This window comes from Homo sapiens, chromosome 3 (assembly GCF_000001405.40).
Source record: "Homo sapiens chromosome 3, GRCh38.p14 Primary Assembly".
Lineage (NCBI taxonomy): Eukaryota > Metazoa > Chordata > Mammalia > Primates > Hominidae > Homo > Homo sapiens.
Window position 1 is genome coordinate 47,985,192 of NC_000003.12, and position 12,706 is coordinate 47,997,897.

Here is a 12,706-nt window from a genome sequence, read left to right on the forward strand (position 1 = left end):
ATCACCTGAACCTGGGAGGCGGAGGTTGCAGTGAGCCAAGATGGTGCCACTGCACTCCAGTCTGGGCAACAGAGCAAGACTTTGTCAAAAAAAAAAATTAACCAGGCATGGTGGTGCATGCCTGCAGTCCCAGCTACTTGGGAGGCTGAGGCTGGAAGACTGCTTGAGCCTGGGGAGGTCAAGGCTGCAGGGAGCCAAGATTGTGCCACTGCACTCCAGCTAGGGTGACAGAGTAAGGCCCTGTCTCTAAATAAATAAATGCTTTTTTTTAATTGGAAAAAAATTACAGTAAAGAAAACAGGCAGACACTAACAAGTGATGAAAGTTATTATCACCAATAATGTGATTTAGTGACATCATGTGCTTCCTGATGTGGTGCACTTAGGACACATCATATTTACATAGTACTACTGCCAAAAATGTGGAACTTGAATCTAATTATGAGGAAATGCCAGGCAAACCCAAATTAGGGGACTTCTAAAAAATAACTTGCCCATACTATTCAAAATATTAAGGTCATGAAAGACAAAGAAGAGTTGAGGAACTGTTCCAATTAAAGAAGACTGAAGAGACATGAAAACTAACGTGATTCCAGATTTAATTGCAGACAAGAAGAAAAAAATGAGAAAGGAATGTGTTGAATCTGTTGGGACAACTGATGACAATGAAATAAGGTTCGTGGATTAGACAGGAATATCTCATCAGCATTTAACTTCTGATCTCTATCATCGTATTCTTGTAATGTGCTAATGCCTAGTTCTTCGGGGAAAGAGGTGTGAGTTCTGCAGTTTGTTCTCAAATAATCCAAGGGGAAGGAACTATATGTAAATATAACAAGAATGATAAAGCAAATGTGCAAAACAGTAATGATAAATCCAAGTAAAGGGTACATGGTAGGTTCTTGGCTCTGTTCTTGCAGTGTGAAGTTTAACAAAGTCATTTGCTTGCAGAATATTATTTAAGAGGTGGGGTCTTTGGGGTCTTGCTATGTTACCCAGGCTGGACTCAAACTCCTAGGCTTAAGCAATCCTCCTTCCTATTAAGTAGCTCGGGCAGGGCTACAGGTACATACCACCATCCTGGCTTGCTTGCAGAATATTTTTAGCAATGAAGTGGTTTTTTTGTTGCTTTGTTTTTTGTTTTTTGGGGGGTTTTTTTGTATTTTTTTTGAGATGGAGTCACTCTGTCGCCCAGGCTGGAGTGCAGTGGCACAATCTCAGCTCACTGCAACCTCCACCTCCTGGGTTCAAGCAATTCTCGTTTCTCAGCCTCCTGAGCAGCCGGGATTACAGGCGCATGCCACCACACCTGGCTAATTTTTGTATTTTTAGTAGAGGCGGGGTTTTGCCATGTTGGCCAGGCTGGTCTCAAACTCCTGACCTCAGGTGATCCATCTGCCTCGGCCTCCCAAGTGCTGAGATTACAGGCTTGAGCCCCCGGGTCCCGGTCCCCTGCTCTTCTTTCAGACTAGGGTACTATTATTATGAACTATACATTTTGGTACGATATTTTTTTTCCCCAAAAAGAACTATTAGTTATGAGATAAAAGTCTGTTTTCAAATCAAAGTCAGAAAATAACTATTTTTGCAAAAATGTCACACTAATTTTTTATGCATATATATAAACTTCCCTAAATATGATCATGAGACTATTAAGAGGGTTTAGGATTAGACCAAGTACACCTACCCTAAATAAATATCTACCATTTTGGAGACACAATTGTTTGTTAGTCTGTACATTAACACAACCCAAACCTGAATAAACTGACAAACAAAAACCATTTCAATTCAGTGTAATAAGCAATGATTACACATCTATCATGTGCCAAGAGCAGTGGTCTCTAATGCAGATCTGGCCAGGTTTCTCAGTACCCCTGCGCCCTCAGTTTCTCACAAACCATGAGATTCTTCATAATTTCACTTGATCTGCTTCTCCATGATTCTCTCCGGTCACTTGTCACTGTAACCTTTGATTTCTTAACCCTGAGAAACTTGAGGTCGCTAGTAAACTTTGATTATGCTGTGCCATCCTGCTTTCGCTAAATGTGTCATTCTCCATGAAATATGGCAGTAAACAAAATATTATTCCTGTGCTAGAGCATGTTAATAAGTGTAAGATAACAAATAGCTTAATTATGATCTTACAAGTACCACAGAGGAAAGAGGAAAGTTCAGGGAAGAAAAGCACTTACCAAGAGGAAGATGAAAAGAAAGGCTGGCAGGGTGTGGGGGTAGTGGGAGGTCTAGAAGGGAAAGGGAACAGAAGTCAGGGAATGTTCTGGAAAGTTACATCTAAATCCAATCTTAAAGGATTTTAGAACAACAACTCTAGCAAAAGCTTTATATAACATCAACCTCCAGCCCAGAACCGTCCTCCAAACTCCGGACTCCTTATCTGTGTATCCATCTTCTCCATTTCGATGACTAGCAGGTAACTAAATGTGAACATATCCCAAGCTAAATTTCTTCTCTTCCCTTCAAATCCTACTCCTTCTGTAGCTTTCCCCATCTCAGATGATGGCAATTCTTTCCTTTCAGTTGCTCAGGCAAAACCCCTGGAGTAATACTGGATTTGTCCTTGGCAACATCAAGGCCTTATACTTTAGGTAAGAGAAGTTTTGGGGTCATGCATATGTTAAAGTCTGATGAGAGTGAATTCAAGAGGAAATGGAAGGAAAGGAATTGGTGACAGGTAGTAGAAACGTCTCTTTAAAAGAAGGCAGGCCGGGCACGGTGGCTCACGCCTGTAATCCCAGCACTTTGGGAGGCTACGGTGGGCGGATCACGAGGTCAGGAGATTGAGACCATCCTGGCTAACACGGTGAAACCCCGTCTCTACTAAAAATACAAAAAATTAGCCGGGCGTGGCGGCACACGCCTGTAGTCCCAGCTACTCAGGAGGCTGAGGCAGGAGAATGGCGTGAACCCGGGAGGCGGAGCTTGCAGTGAGCCAAGATCGCGCCACTGCACTCCAGCCTGGGTGACATAGCAAGACTCCGTCTCAAAAAAAAAAAAAAAGAAAGCAAAGCAAAAAGATAGATGAGATGGATGTGAGATTCAGACAGGATTTTTTTTTTAATGATAAAAAAATTATAGTATGTTTGATGCTGGTGAATGACCCAATTGAAAGAAAAGAACTGATGATGCAGGAGACAGAAGAGGTAACTGTGACAGCAGTGGCCTGAGTGACAGCATGAACAGTTCACCCATAACAGAAAAAGAGCAGACAATAAGGGCATAGATGAACATAGGTGAGGAGGAAATATGTGGTGGGACCATGTGGAAGTTCTGTTCTGATTAAGCCAATTAATTTATGAATATGACTTATGAATATGAACAGGAGAGCAAGTGCCAGAAGTTTCAGAGAGTAGATGTGAAACAGTTGTCTAGGAAAGTGAAATATTTTACAAACTCATGTGAATTAGTGGCAGAGTCCCTCAGTTTGTGCTCTGTATTGAAATGAAGCAAGATTCTTTTACATTTCCTGAACATACATCTAATAATTCTATTTGAATTTAAAAAATGGATTTTTAGTTTTTAAAAACTATCAGTGAGATACTAGATCAAGTAGAAAGTATGTGTTCATGAAAAAGGTATAGTTTCACAGAAAGAACAGGGGTTTATTTTATTTATTTATTTTTTGAGACGGAGTCTCGCTGTCGCCCAGGCTTGAATGCAGTGGCACGATCTTGGCTCACTGCAACCTCCACCTTCTGGGTTCAAGACTCTCTTGCCCCAGCCCCCTGAGTAGCTGGGATTACTGGTGAGCACCACCACGCCTGGCTAATTTTTTGTATTTTTAGTAGAGATGAGATTTCACCATGTTGATCAGGCTGGTCTCGAACTCCTGACTTCGTGATCTGCCTGCTTCAGCCTCTCAAAGTGCTGGGGATTACAGGCATGAGCCACCATGCCCAGCCAGAACAGGGGTTTAAAATGAGAAGATCCAGTAGCTCATGTCTGTAATCCCAGCACTTTGGGAGGCCTAGGCGGAAGGGCTGCTTGAGGCCAGGAGTTTGAGACCAACCTGGGCAATATAGCAAGACCACATCTCTATTTAAAAAATATTGTTTTAATTGTTTAATAAAAATAAAAGTGAGATTAGAAGATCTGGGTTCAGGTTGTGCTGTCATTATTAACTAAATGATCAAATGCAACCTTCTCATTTCTAATACTTAAGCTTCACCTGGGAAGTGGGACTAAATGCAGTAATACAGGATGTCAACTGTACAGTGCTAAATAGTAATTGTTATTCTCACTGTTATTAGCTATTGTTATTCTCACTGTTATTAACTATATGTTGACCAACTGTAAATTTATCTATCAACCACCTATAGAATAACTGTAGGCTGATCAAGAAACTTTACTAGAATAAAATAAAATGAAAGCAAGAAGAGGTTAGAAAGGAAGAAGAGAAGCTGGATTCTACTATACATACAACACCTCACAATCTAAAAATATAAGCCCAGGAGAGAATAAAAACAACGTAACAACACTAAAAACAATAAGGTTGACAAGTAGAAAAAAGGCTTGTATATTTCCCTGCCAGATAAGACATACTGGACCCTAATCATACTGCACATTACTGGAAAAGTCCTAATTCAAAAGATGCTATAATGTGTTTTCTCACTGACTGACTTCCCCAGAGAACCCCCATTTCATGAAATGAAAACTTTCTCAGTGAAATACACACAGCATCGAAAATAGCACACTTTTTTTTTTTAGAAACTAATCACATTCTCTGAGATATAAAGATATTCAAATTTACTTTATTTTGTTGATTCCCTCTCCCCAGGAGATGTCAGATTCCCACAGCAGGCAAATCAGCTTGGCAGAGAAGTAGCAAGAACCTGAGAAGGCATGTGTGCTGTGAGTCAGCCTTGGGCAAAACAGCCAGGTCTCAATGCAAGGGAACCCTCTGGTGCTGTCAGACCCATGCCAACACTGCCCTCTACTGGCCAATTAAGCTGGTTGCAATTTTCTGCAAAAGAAATACCAGTGTATTAAGGAGAAATTCTGCAGTATCTATTAATAGTTGTCACTTAGGCCCTTTTCCATGGATTAGTGTTTCTCAATCATGCATGTGTATCCGAGTCACCTATTATGGCTTGTTAAAACAGACTGCTGGTGTGTGGCAGGGTACGGTGTCTCCCACCTGTAATCCCAGCACTATGGGAAGTCAAGGCAGGAGGATCACTTGAGCCCAGCAGTTCAAAACCAGTCCAGTCCAGGCAACACAGTGAGACCTTGTCTTTACTAAAAATGCAAAAAACTTAGCCAGGCCATTGCCCTGTGTTAACTTCTTATTCTATGGGAATAAGCTTTTAGCTTCAAAGGCCTTATGGAATGTTGAGGAGAAAGCATTTTCTCGACTTCAGAAGAAGAACTATTTAATCACACAGAGAACAGAAAAATTAAGTGACTTGTTCCATAAATGTGCTATTTGTGTCTGAGGGTCAATACTGTGCTAGATGATCATCTGAAAGAACAAGAGTCACAGATGTTTGCTTCGTCATTCACATCTAAGAGAAAGGGTTCTATCTTTTGTCTCCCTCACCTAGAAAATAGGGCCATATAATGCTGATAATGAACAATTAAGGAAAACACCATTTTTTAAGGAAAAAAGTCAGGAAGTACATAATTTTCTTTTTATTTTTTTCTTATTACAGCCGTGGTGCAAAACAAGTAGTACACATATCCTGAAAAAGTATTTGAGAATTGTTTCCCAAGGTGATAGGCATTTTAGAAGAAGAGTTTGACACCAATTTTATTTCTAGGTATTGGTATTTAGATGGTTTACACAGGCAATGCTAAGATAAAATACTTGTAGAAGCAAGAATAAGTTGAAGTGCAAAAGGAAATGAGTATAGTAGATCCAAAGAAAAGGAATAAAGGTCGGGGGGTTCTTGTGTTGCCAGGCATGAAGGCAGAAATCATACTTAGAGAAAAAAGCAATTTTCCTACTTTGTCATAAATGCCATAAAAGCAACCCTGCTTTCTTACTTCTCATTTTATAAGTTGAAGACAATTAGGGTGGACATGTAAGAATTAAAGGAAATAAAACACCATTGTTCAAAGAGTTCTATTATGTGTAACCTACTCAACCGTCCCTTCTATATCTAGAGGCAAGAAAATGGTTGATAAACTTCCACTGGTTGGCCTAACTAAGCCTGTTGTAAGAACATATCGAGAGCACTAGGCTGGGTGTGGTGGCTCACACCTGTAATCCCAGTGCTTTGGGAGGCTAAGGCAGGAGGATCGCTTGAGGCCATGAGTTCCAGACCAGCCAGAGGAACACAGTCTGACTGTCGCTATAAAAATAAAAGGATAAGCAAGGCACGCGCACCTGTAGTCCAAGCTATTCAGGAGCCTGAGGCAGGAGGAACGTTTGAGCCCAGGAGTTACGTTAGATGTTGCAGTAAGCTATGATTGTGCCACTGCACTCCAGCCTAGGTGACATGGAAAGAATCTGTCTTTTCTTTTTTTTTTTTGAGACGGAATTTCGCTCTTGTTGCCCAGGCTGGAGTGCAACAATGGCACGATCTCGGCTCACGGCAACCTCTGCCTCCCGGGTTCAAGTGATTACTCTTGCCTCAGCCTCCTGAGTAGCTGGGATTACAGGTGCCCACCACCACGCCCAGCTAATTTTTTTGTGTTTTTAGTAGAGACAGGGTTTCACCATGTTAGCCAGGCTGGTCTCGAACTCCTGACCTCAGGTGATCCACCCGCCTCAGCCTCCCAAAGTGCTGGGATTATAGGCGTGAACCACCGCGCCCAGTAAGACCCTGTCTTCAAAAAAAAAAAAAGTGTCAGCAATCAGCAGTAGTTTACTGAACCTCATCTAAGAACAAAATCAAACTTAAAGTTAGATGTATAATAAAACATTAATGAAGTCTAGGGCCCTTCCATCACTTCTAAAGATGTATTCAGAAGAACATCTTGTTTAGAATGTTCTCCAGGAAAAACACAAATATGAAACCTGTCATTATGGCAAAAACCATCAGTCCGATAATGTATAAAAATCAGACCCACAGCAGAGAAGTCTCCATTCATAAAGAACTCACTAATTGCACCAGATTTCTACAAGACTAAATAAGGCGGCTTCCTTCGTTTTTCTTATTTGATGTCTCCAAACAGCCATCACCCCTTCCTTTAAGTTAAGACTTCTACAACTTTTAGGAAGCTGGTATGGAAAAAATGTAGTAATTTACAACCTATCATAATTATAAACTTTATTATTATTATTATTTTTAGAGACGGGGTCTCTCTCTGTCACCCAGGCTGCAGCACAGTGGTGCTTTTATGGCTCACTGCAGCCTCGACCTCTGGGGCTCAAGTGATTGCCTCCTACCTCAGCTTCCTGTGTAGCTCGGACTACAGGCGCACACTACCACGCCCAGCTATAATTATAAACTTTAAACATGGTATCTTCAACAAGTTCGTGGAAAATGCATTCTATGAAAAAATTATTCATGGATTTCAAGGGAGTTTTTTTGTATCAAAATAACTCATACTCCAGCCTGACCAATATGGCGAAACCCCATCTCTACTAAAAATACAAAAATTAGCTGGGCATGGTAGCATGTGCCTATAAGCCCAGCTACTCAGGAGGCTGAGGCAGGAGAATCTCTTGAACACAGGAGGTAGAGGTTGCAGTGAGCCGAGACTGTGCCACCGCACTCCAGCCTGGGTGACAGAGAGACACTCCATCTTAAAAAAAAAAAAAAAAAGCTCATACTAACTTGTTATAACACGTCTGAACAGGATCTAGTTTGAAGCACTAAAAAGGATAAAACATCAGTTTGAAAAGAGCCCCTAATAAAGCAACATGAATTCTGCTAAAATTGAAGCAAAAGCAAATGGTAAATTTATGGTGAAGCTTGGATGAAAGAATGGTGAAATCACTGATGCTTTGTGTAAAGTTTATGGGGACAATGCCCCAAACAAATCAGTAGTTTACACATGAATAACTTGTTTTAAGACATCAGCCAGATGCAGTGGTCCGCACCTATAGTCCCAGCTACTTGGAAGGCTGAGACAGGAGGATCACTTGAGCCCAGGAGTTCAAGGCTGTAGTGTGCTATGGTTACACCTGTAAATAGTCACTATACTCTAATTTGGGCAATGTAGTAAGACTCTGTCTCAAAAAAAGAAAAAAAATAAAGGAGGAGATGATGTTGAAGATGAAGCCCACCGTGGCAGACCACCAATATCAATTTGAGAGGAAAAAAGAATGATCTAATTGAAGAGGATTGACAATTAGCAGAAACAATAGCCAATACCACAGACATCTCAATTGGTTCAGTTTATACAATTTTGGCTGATAAATTAAAATTGAGCAAACTTTCCACTCAACTGGTGCCAAAATGGTTGCATCCAGATGAGCTGCAAAGAGCAGAGCTTTCGATGTAAATTTTAAACAAGTGGGATCAAGATCCTGAAGCATTTCTTTGAAGAATTGTAACAGGAGATGAAATATGGTTTTACCAGTATAATCCTAAAGACAAAGCACAATCAAAGCAATGGCTACCAAGAGGCGTAAGTGCTGTAGTCAAAGCAAAAGTGGATCAGTCAAGAGCAAACACAAGAGTTTTTTAGGATGCTCAAAGCACTTTGTCTGTTGACTTTCTGGAGAGCCAAAGAATGACAACATCTTATTATGAGGGTGTTTTGAGAAAGTCAGCCAATGCTTTAGCAGAAAAACAGCCAGGAAAGCTTCATCAGAGAGTCCTTCTCCACCAGGACAATGCTCCTGTTCATTCCTTTCATCAACAAAGATAATTTGTGACAGTTTTGATGAGAAATCATTAGGCAACCACCTTACAACAGTCCTGATTTGGTTCCTTCTTTTTTGTTTCCTAATCTTTAAAAAAATCTTTGGTAGCAACAAAAAATTAAAAACTTAAACCAAAAAAAACTTTAAAGGGCATCCATTTTTCTTCATTTCTTCATTTTTCTTCATTTAATAATGTAAAAAAGCCAGGCACAGTGGCTCACACCTATAATCCCAGCACAAAAGAAAAACAAATATTTACTCCAAAAAATTTGGATTCCTTAATGGAAAACGGGAAAATCTATTCTCTCTTAATCCATAATGCACGGTGGAGACATTTGTTCTTTGACTGACTAACATAAACAAAGAAAACCTAGTATGAAGAAAGGAATGATAAGATGTAAATATGGTAGCAACTAGTCATGGTTGAGATGCTCTTCCCATCCTAATATTAACTTACCCTCATCAGTCATAGGTGAAAGAAGCTAGCTGCTTTTCGTTTTCTAATTTCCTTTAACTGTGCATTGTTTCCATCATCTGGGAATGAGCCTAGGTGGATAAGGACAGTGAGGTGGTAGCAGTAGATTTTCTTGTGCTTCATCTTGAGTTATTTGATCCATGTAACATTAACTTGGCCCAAGAGGAGGAAAGTTTTTAAGACATTATTTTATTTATAAAAAATTAAATCCTCCCTGCTACTTTTGATATGTAAATGGTGGCTCATGCCTGTAATCCCAGCACTTTGGGAGGCCAAGGCAAGTGGATCACCTGAGGTCAGGAGTTTGAGACCAGCCTGGCCAACAGGGCGAAACCCCATCTCTACTAAAAATACAAAAATTAGCCAGGCATGGTGGTGCAGGCCTGTAATCCCAGCTACTGGGGTGTTGAGGCAGGAGGATCGCTTGAACCTGGGAGGCGGAGGATGCAGTGAGCAGAGATCGTGCCACTGCACTCCAGCCTGTGCAATAGAGCGGGACTCCATCTCAAAAAAAAAAAAAAAAAGTTCATTAACTCAGAAAGACTACTCCAGAAATTGGCGAGTGGTTACTCCAGGAAGGAGAACTGTCTGGCTAGGGTGTAGGGATTGGGAGAATTTGTTTTACCGTACATCCCTTTGGACCAATTGGATTTTGTACATGTGTATTTTTTAGCCTGTTCAAAAAATGTATGAGTTTCTGGAAAATTGAATTAAAGGATAAAAATAAAATATGAACTTTACTTCTCAACATAAGCTTTTGCAACATCAAGATACTTTTGTAAGCAATGATAGCAACTTTTTTTCTTTTCTTTTTTTTTTTTTTTTTTGAGACAGAGTCTCGTTCTCTCGCCCAGGCTGGAGTGCAGTGGCACGCTCTCCACTCACTGCCACCTCCGCCTCCCAGGTTCAAGTGATTCTTGTACCTCAGCCTCCTGAGTACCTGGGATTACAGGTGCACACCATTACCCCTGGCTAATTTTTGTATTTTTAGTAGAGGTATGGTTTCACCATGTTGGCCAGGCTGGTCTCAAACTCCTGACCTCAGGTGAGCCACCTGCCTTGGTCTCCCAAAGTGCTGGGATTACAGGCGTGAGCCACTGCACCTGGTCTGGAGTAAATATTTATATGGATATAATTAGAACTCTCGGTACTTTTTTAAATGAGTTGTGGTCTGCCCCCCCTCCCCAACACACAAATTAAACATATATTAAGGAAGCAGGTTTTCTTCTTCCACTTGGCTGTAGAAAGCCAAAAGCAACGTCACTCCCACCCTAACAACAAGAAACAGCCATATCAACTACAAAAAACTTGAATTAATTGGAAAGCCACCTAGTAGTATGAAATCCAAAGAAAAACAAGCCCCTCCAGGAAATATGGGAGGTGAACACCAGCTCTCCTGTATCAGAGCATGTGCAGAAGAGACATTGGGTACCCTACAAGCAGGTAAGAAAAATTCAAGTAAAAATTGTAGTGATTTGTCAAAGGTAAATGAAGGCTAGCATGAGACTATGGGGCCCCTCAAATCCACAGACACAAAGGGAATTCACACTCATTTGCAGGATTGTCTTCACAGATGTCTGCCGCATGCTCACAGGAAAGATTGGAAGCAGGGTGAGGGACCAGACAGAGCCTCCCTCCATGGTACAGACCTGGAGAAGGCCACCACCATTAAGGGAAAAGCATGAACCCCTCCCACTGGGATCTTTCTCTCCTGGGGAAGGAGTACAAACCCTGTCAACCCCAGAGCACACAAGAAGACCGGCTGTAGCTAGGGAAAGAGTAATAGAAACATACTTTATAAACCTGAGAGAGGAGCAAGAAAAACTCCTCATCCAGGATCCTACACCAATACCATGAGAAGACGCTACTACTGTGAAAAGGATAATAACGTTGAGAAAGACCCAAACCGTGAGATTAAGCACAGGATTAAGCACAAAATGGGACAATAAAAAAACAAACTCTGCCTGCCACCTGGCTAGAACTCTTCCGATAAGAGAGAAAAGAGCATGGACAAGGACCCCTCTGAGGCACGGGTACACAGGGAAGGCTGAAAGAGTGGAGCAAGCACATTAAAGAAATACCTTCCAGGGCCTCAGTCCCCACTCTAAGCATAGAATTAAAGGGATTGAAGACAGTAGTACACTGAAGGCAATTACGGTAATGACAAAACCCAAAACTAGCTCAGCTCCTGTTAAAATGACTAAACCCAAGAGACATGCCTATTTCCAACCATAACACCTTTTGGCCTCAGCCTACTATTTTACATGTGAGATCCAGCATTCAATCAAAAACTAAGACACACACACACACACACACACACACACACACACAGAGCAATCAGACTGAGAGATGACCCAGATTTTCAAATTATCACACAGAGATTTAAAACAACTATGATTAATATGTTAAAGTCTACAGTAGAAAAGGTGGAAAACATAGGTGAACAGATGGGAAATTTTGACAGAAATAAGGAAGCTTATAAGAGAGGCAAACAGAAATGCTAGAAATTAAAAACATAAAAAATGCTAAAGTAGATAATGCCACTGAAAGCTCATCATTAGATTCAACACAACTATGAAAAGATCAGGGAATTGGAAGATAGGTCAAAAGAAAGTACCCAAAGTAAAACACAAACAGAAATAAAGAGAGAAAAAAACCAACAATGCATCCAAGAGATACAGGACACTATCCAACAATTTAACAAAAATATAATTGGAATCCCAGGAGAAAAGAAAAAGAATGGGGCAGAAGAAATATTTTAAAAGATAATGGCCAAAAATTTCCCAGCTGACTTAACCACTTCAAAAGCACAGATCAAGAAGCTCAGAAAAGCCCAAGAAGAAAACTTCCAAAATATCATCTAAACACAACATATTTAAACTGCTAAAAAAAAAAAAAAAAAAAGATAAAATCTTAAAGGCAGACACAAAGAGGAATTCACAAAGGAAATATTTTTAAATATTTTTAAATGAATGAAAATAAAAATACAACATATCAAAATCCATGGGACACAGCTAAAATGGTGATTAGAGGGTAATTTATAACATTAAGTAATTACATTAGAAAAGAAATGTCTCAGATCAAAACCTGATTTAAGCTGTCACCTTAAGAAACCAGAAAAAGAATAAATCAACTTAAGTAAACAGAAGAAAGGAAAAAACAAAGATATGAGAAGAAATTAAAAACAGAAAGACAATAGAAAAAAATTAATGAAACCAAAAGCTGGATCTTTCAATACAATTGATAAACCTCTACCTAGACTTATCAAAGAAAGAAAGAAAGAAAGAAAGAAAGAAACATCACAAATTACTAGTATAAGAAATGAAAAAGGGGACATAATAGATCCTACAGACATTAAAAGCATATCTCCATTAATCTGCAACATTTATGCCAGGAAAGGGACCAAGGAATTCCTTGAAAGATACAAACTACCAAAGCTAACTTAAGAAACAGATA

At 40.1% G+C, this 12,706-nt stretch overlaps 1 protein-coding gene across 167 annotated transcripts in view; it reads right to left on the reverse strand.

Annotated features, from left to right (window-relative positions):
* Positions 1 to 12,706, reverse strand: part of MAP4 (microtubule associated protein 4) — a 238,154-nt gene that overhangs the window by 134,497 nt on the left and 90,951 nt on the right. For 39 of the 167 annotated variants that reach the window (NM_001384789.1, NM_001384793.1, XM_047448132.1 and 36 more), the window contains one exon: positions 2,192 to 2,242. The exons of the other annotated variants lie outside the window; for them this stretch is intronic. In NM_001384789.1, the coding sequence (NP_001371718.1) occupies positions 2,192 to 2,242 (51 nt within the window). The remainder of the gene's footprint in view (positions 1 to 2,191; positions 2,243 to 12,706) is intronic. 167 annotated transcript variants of the gene reach the window in all.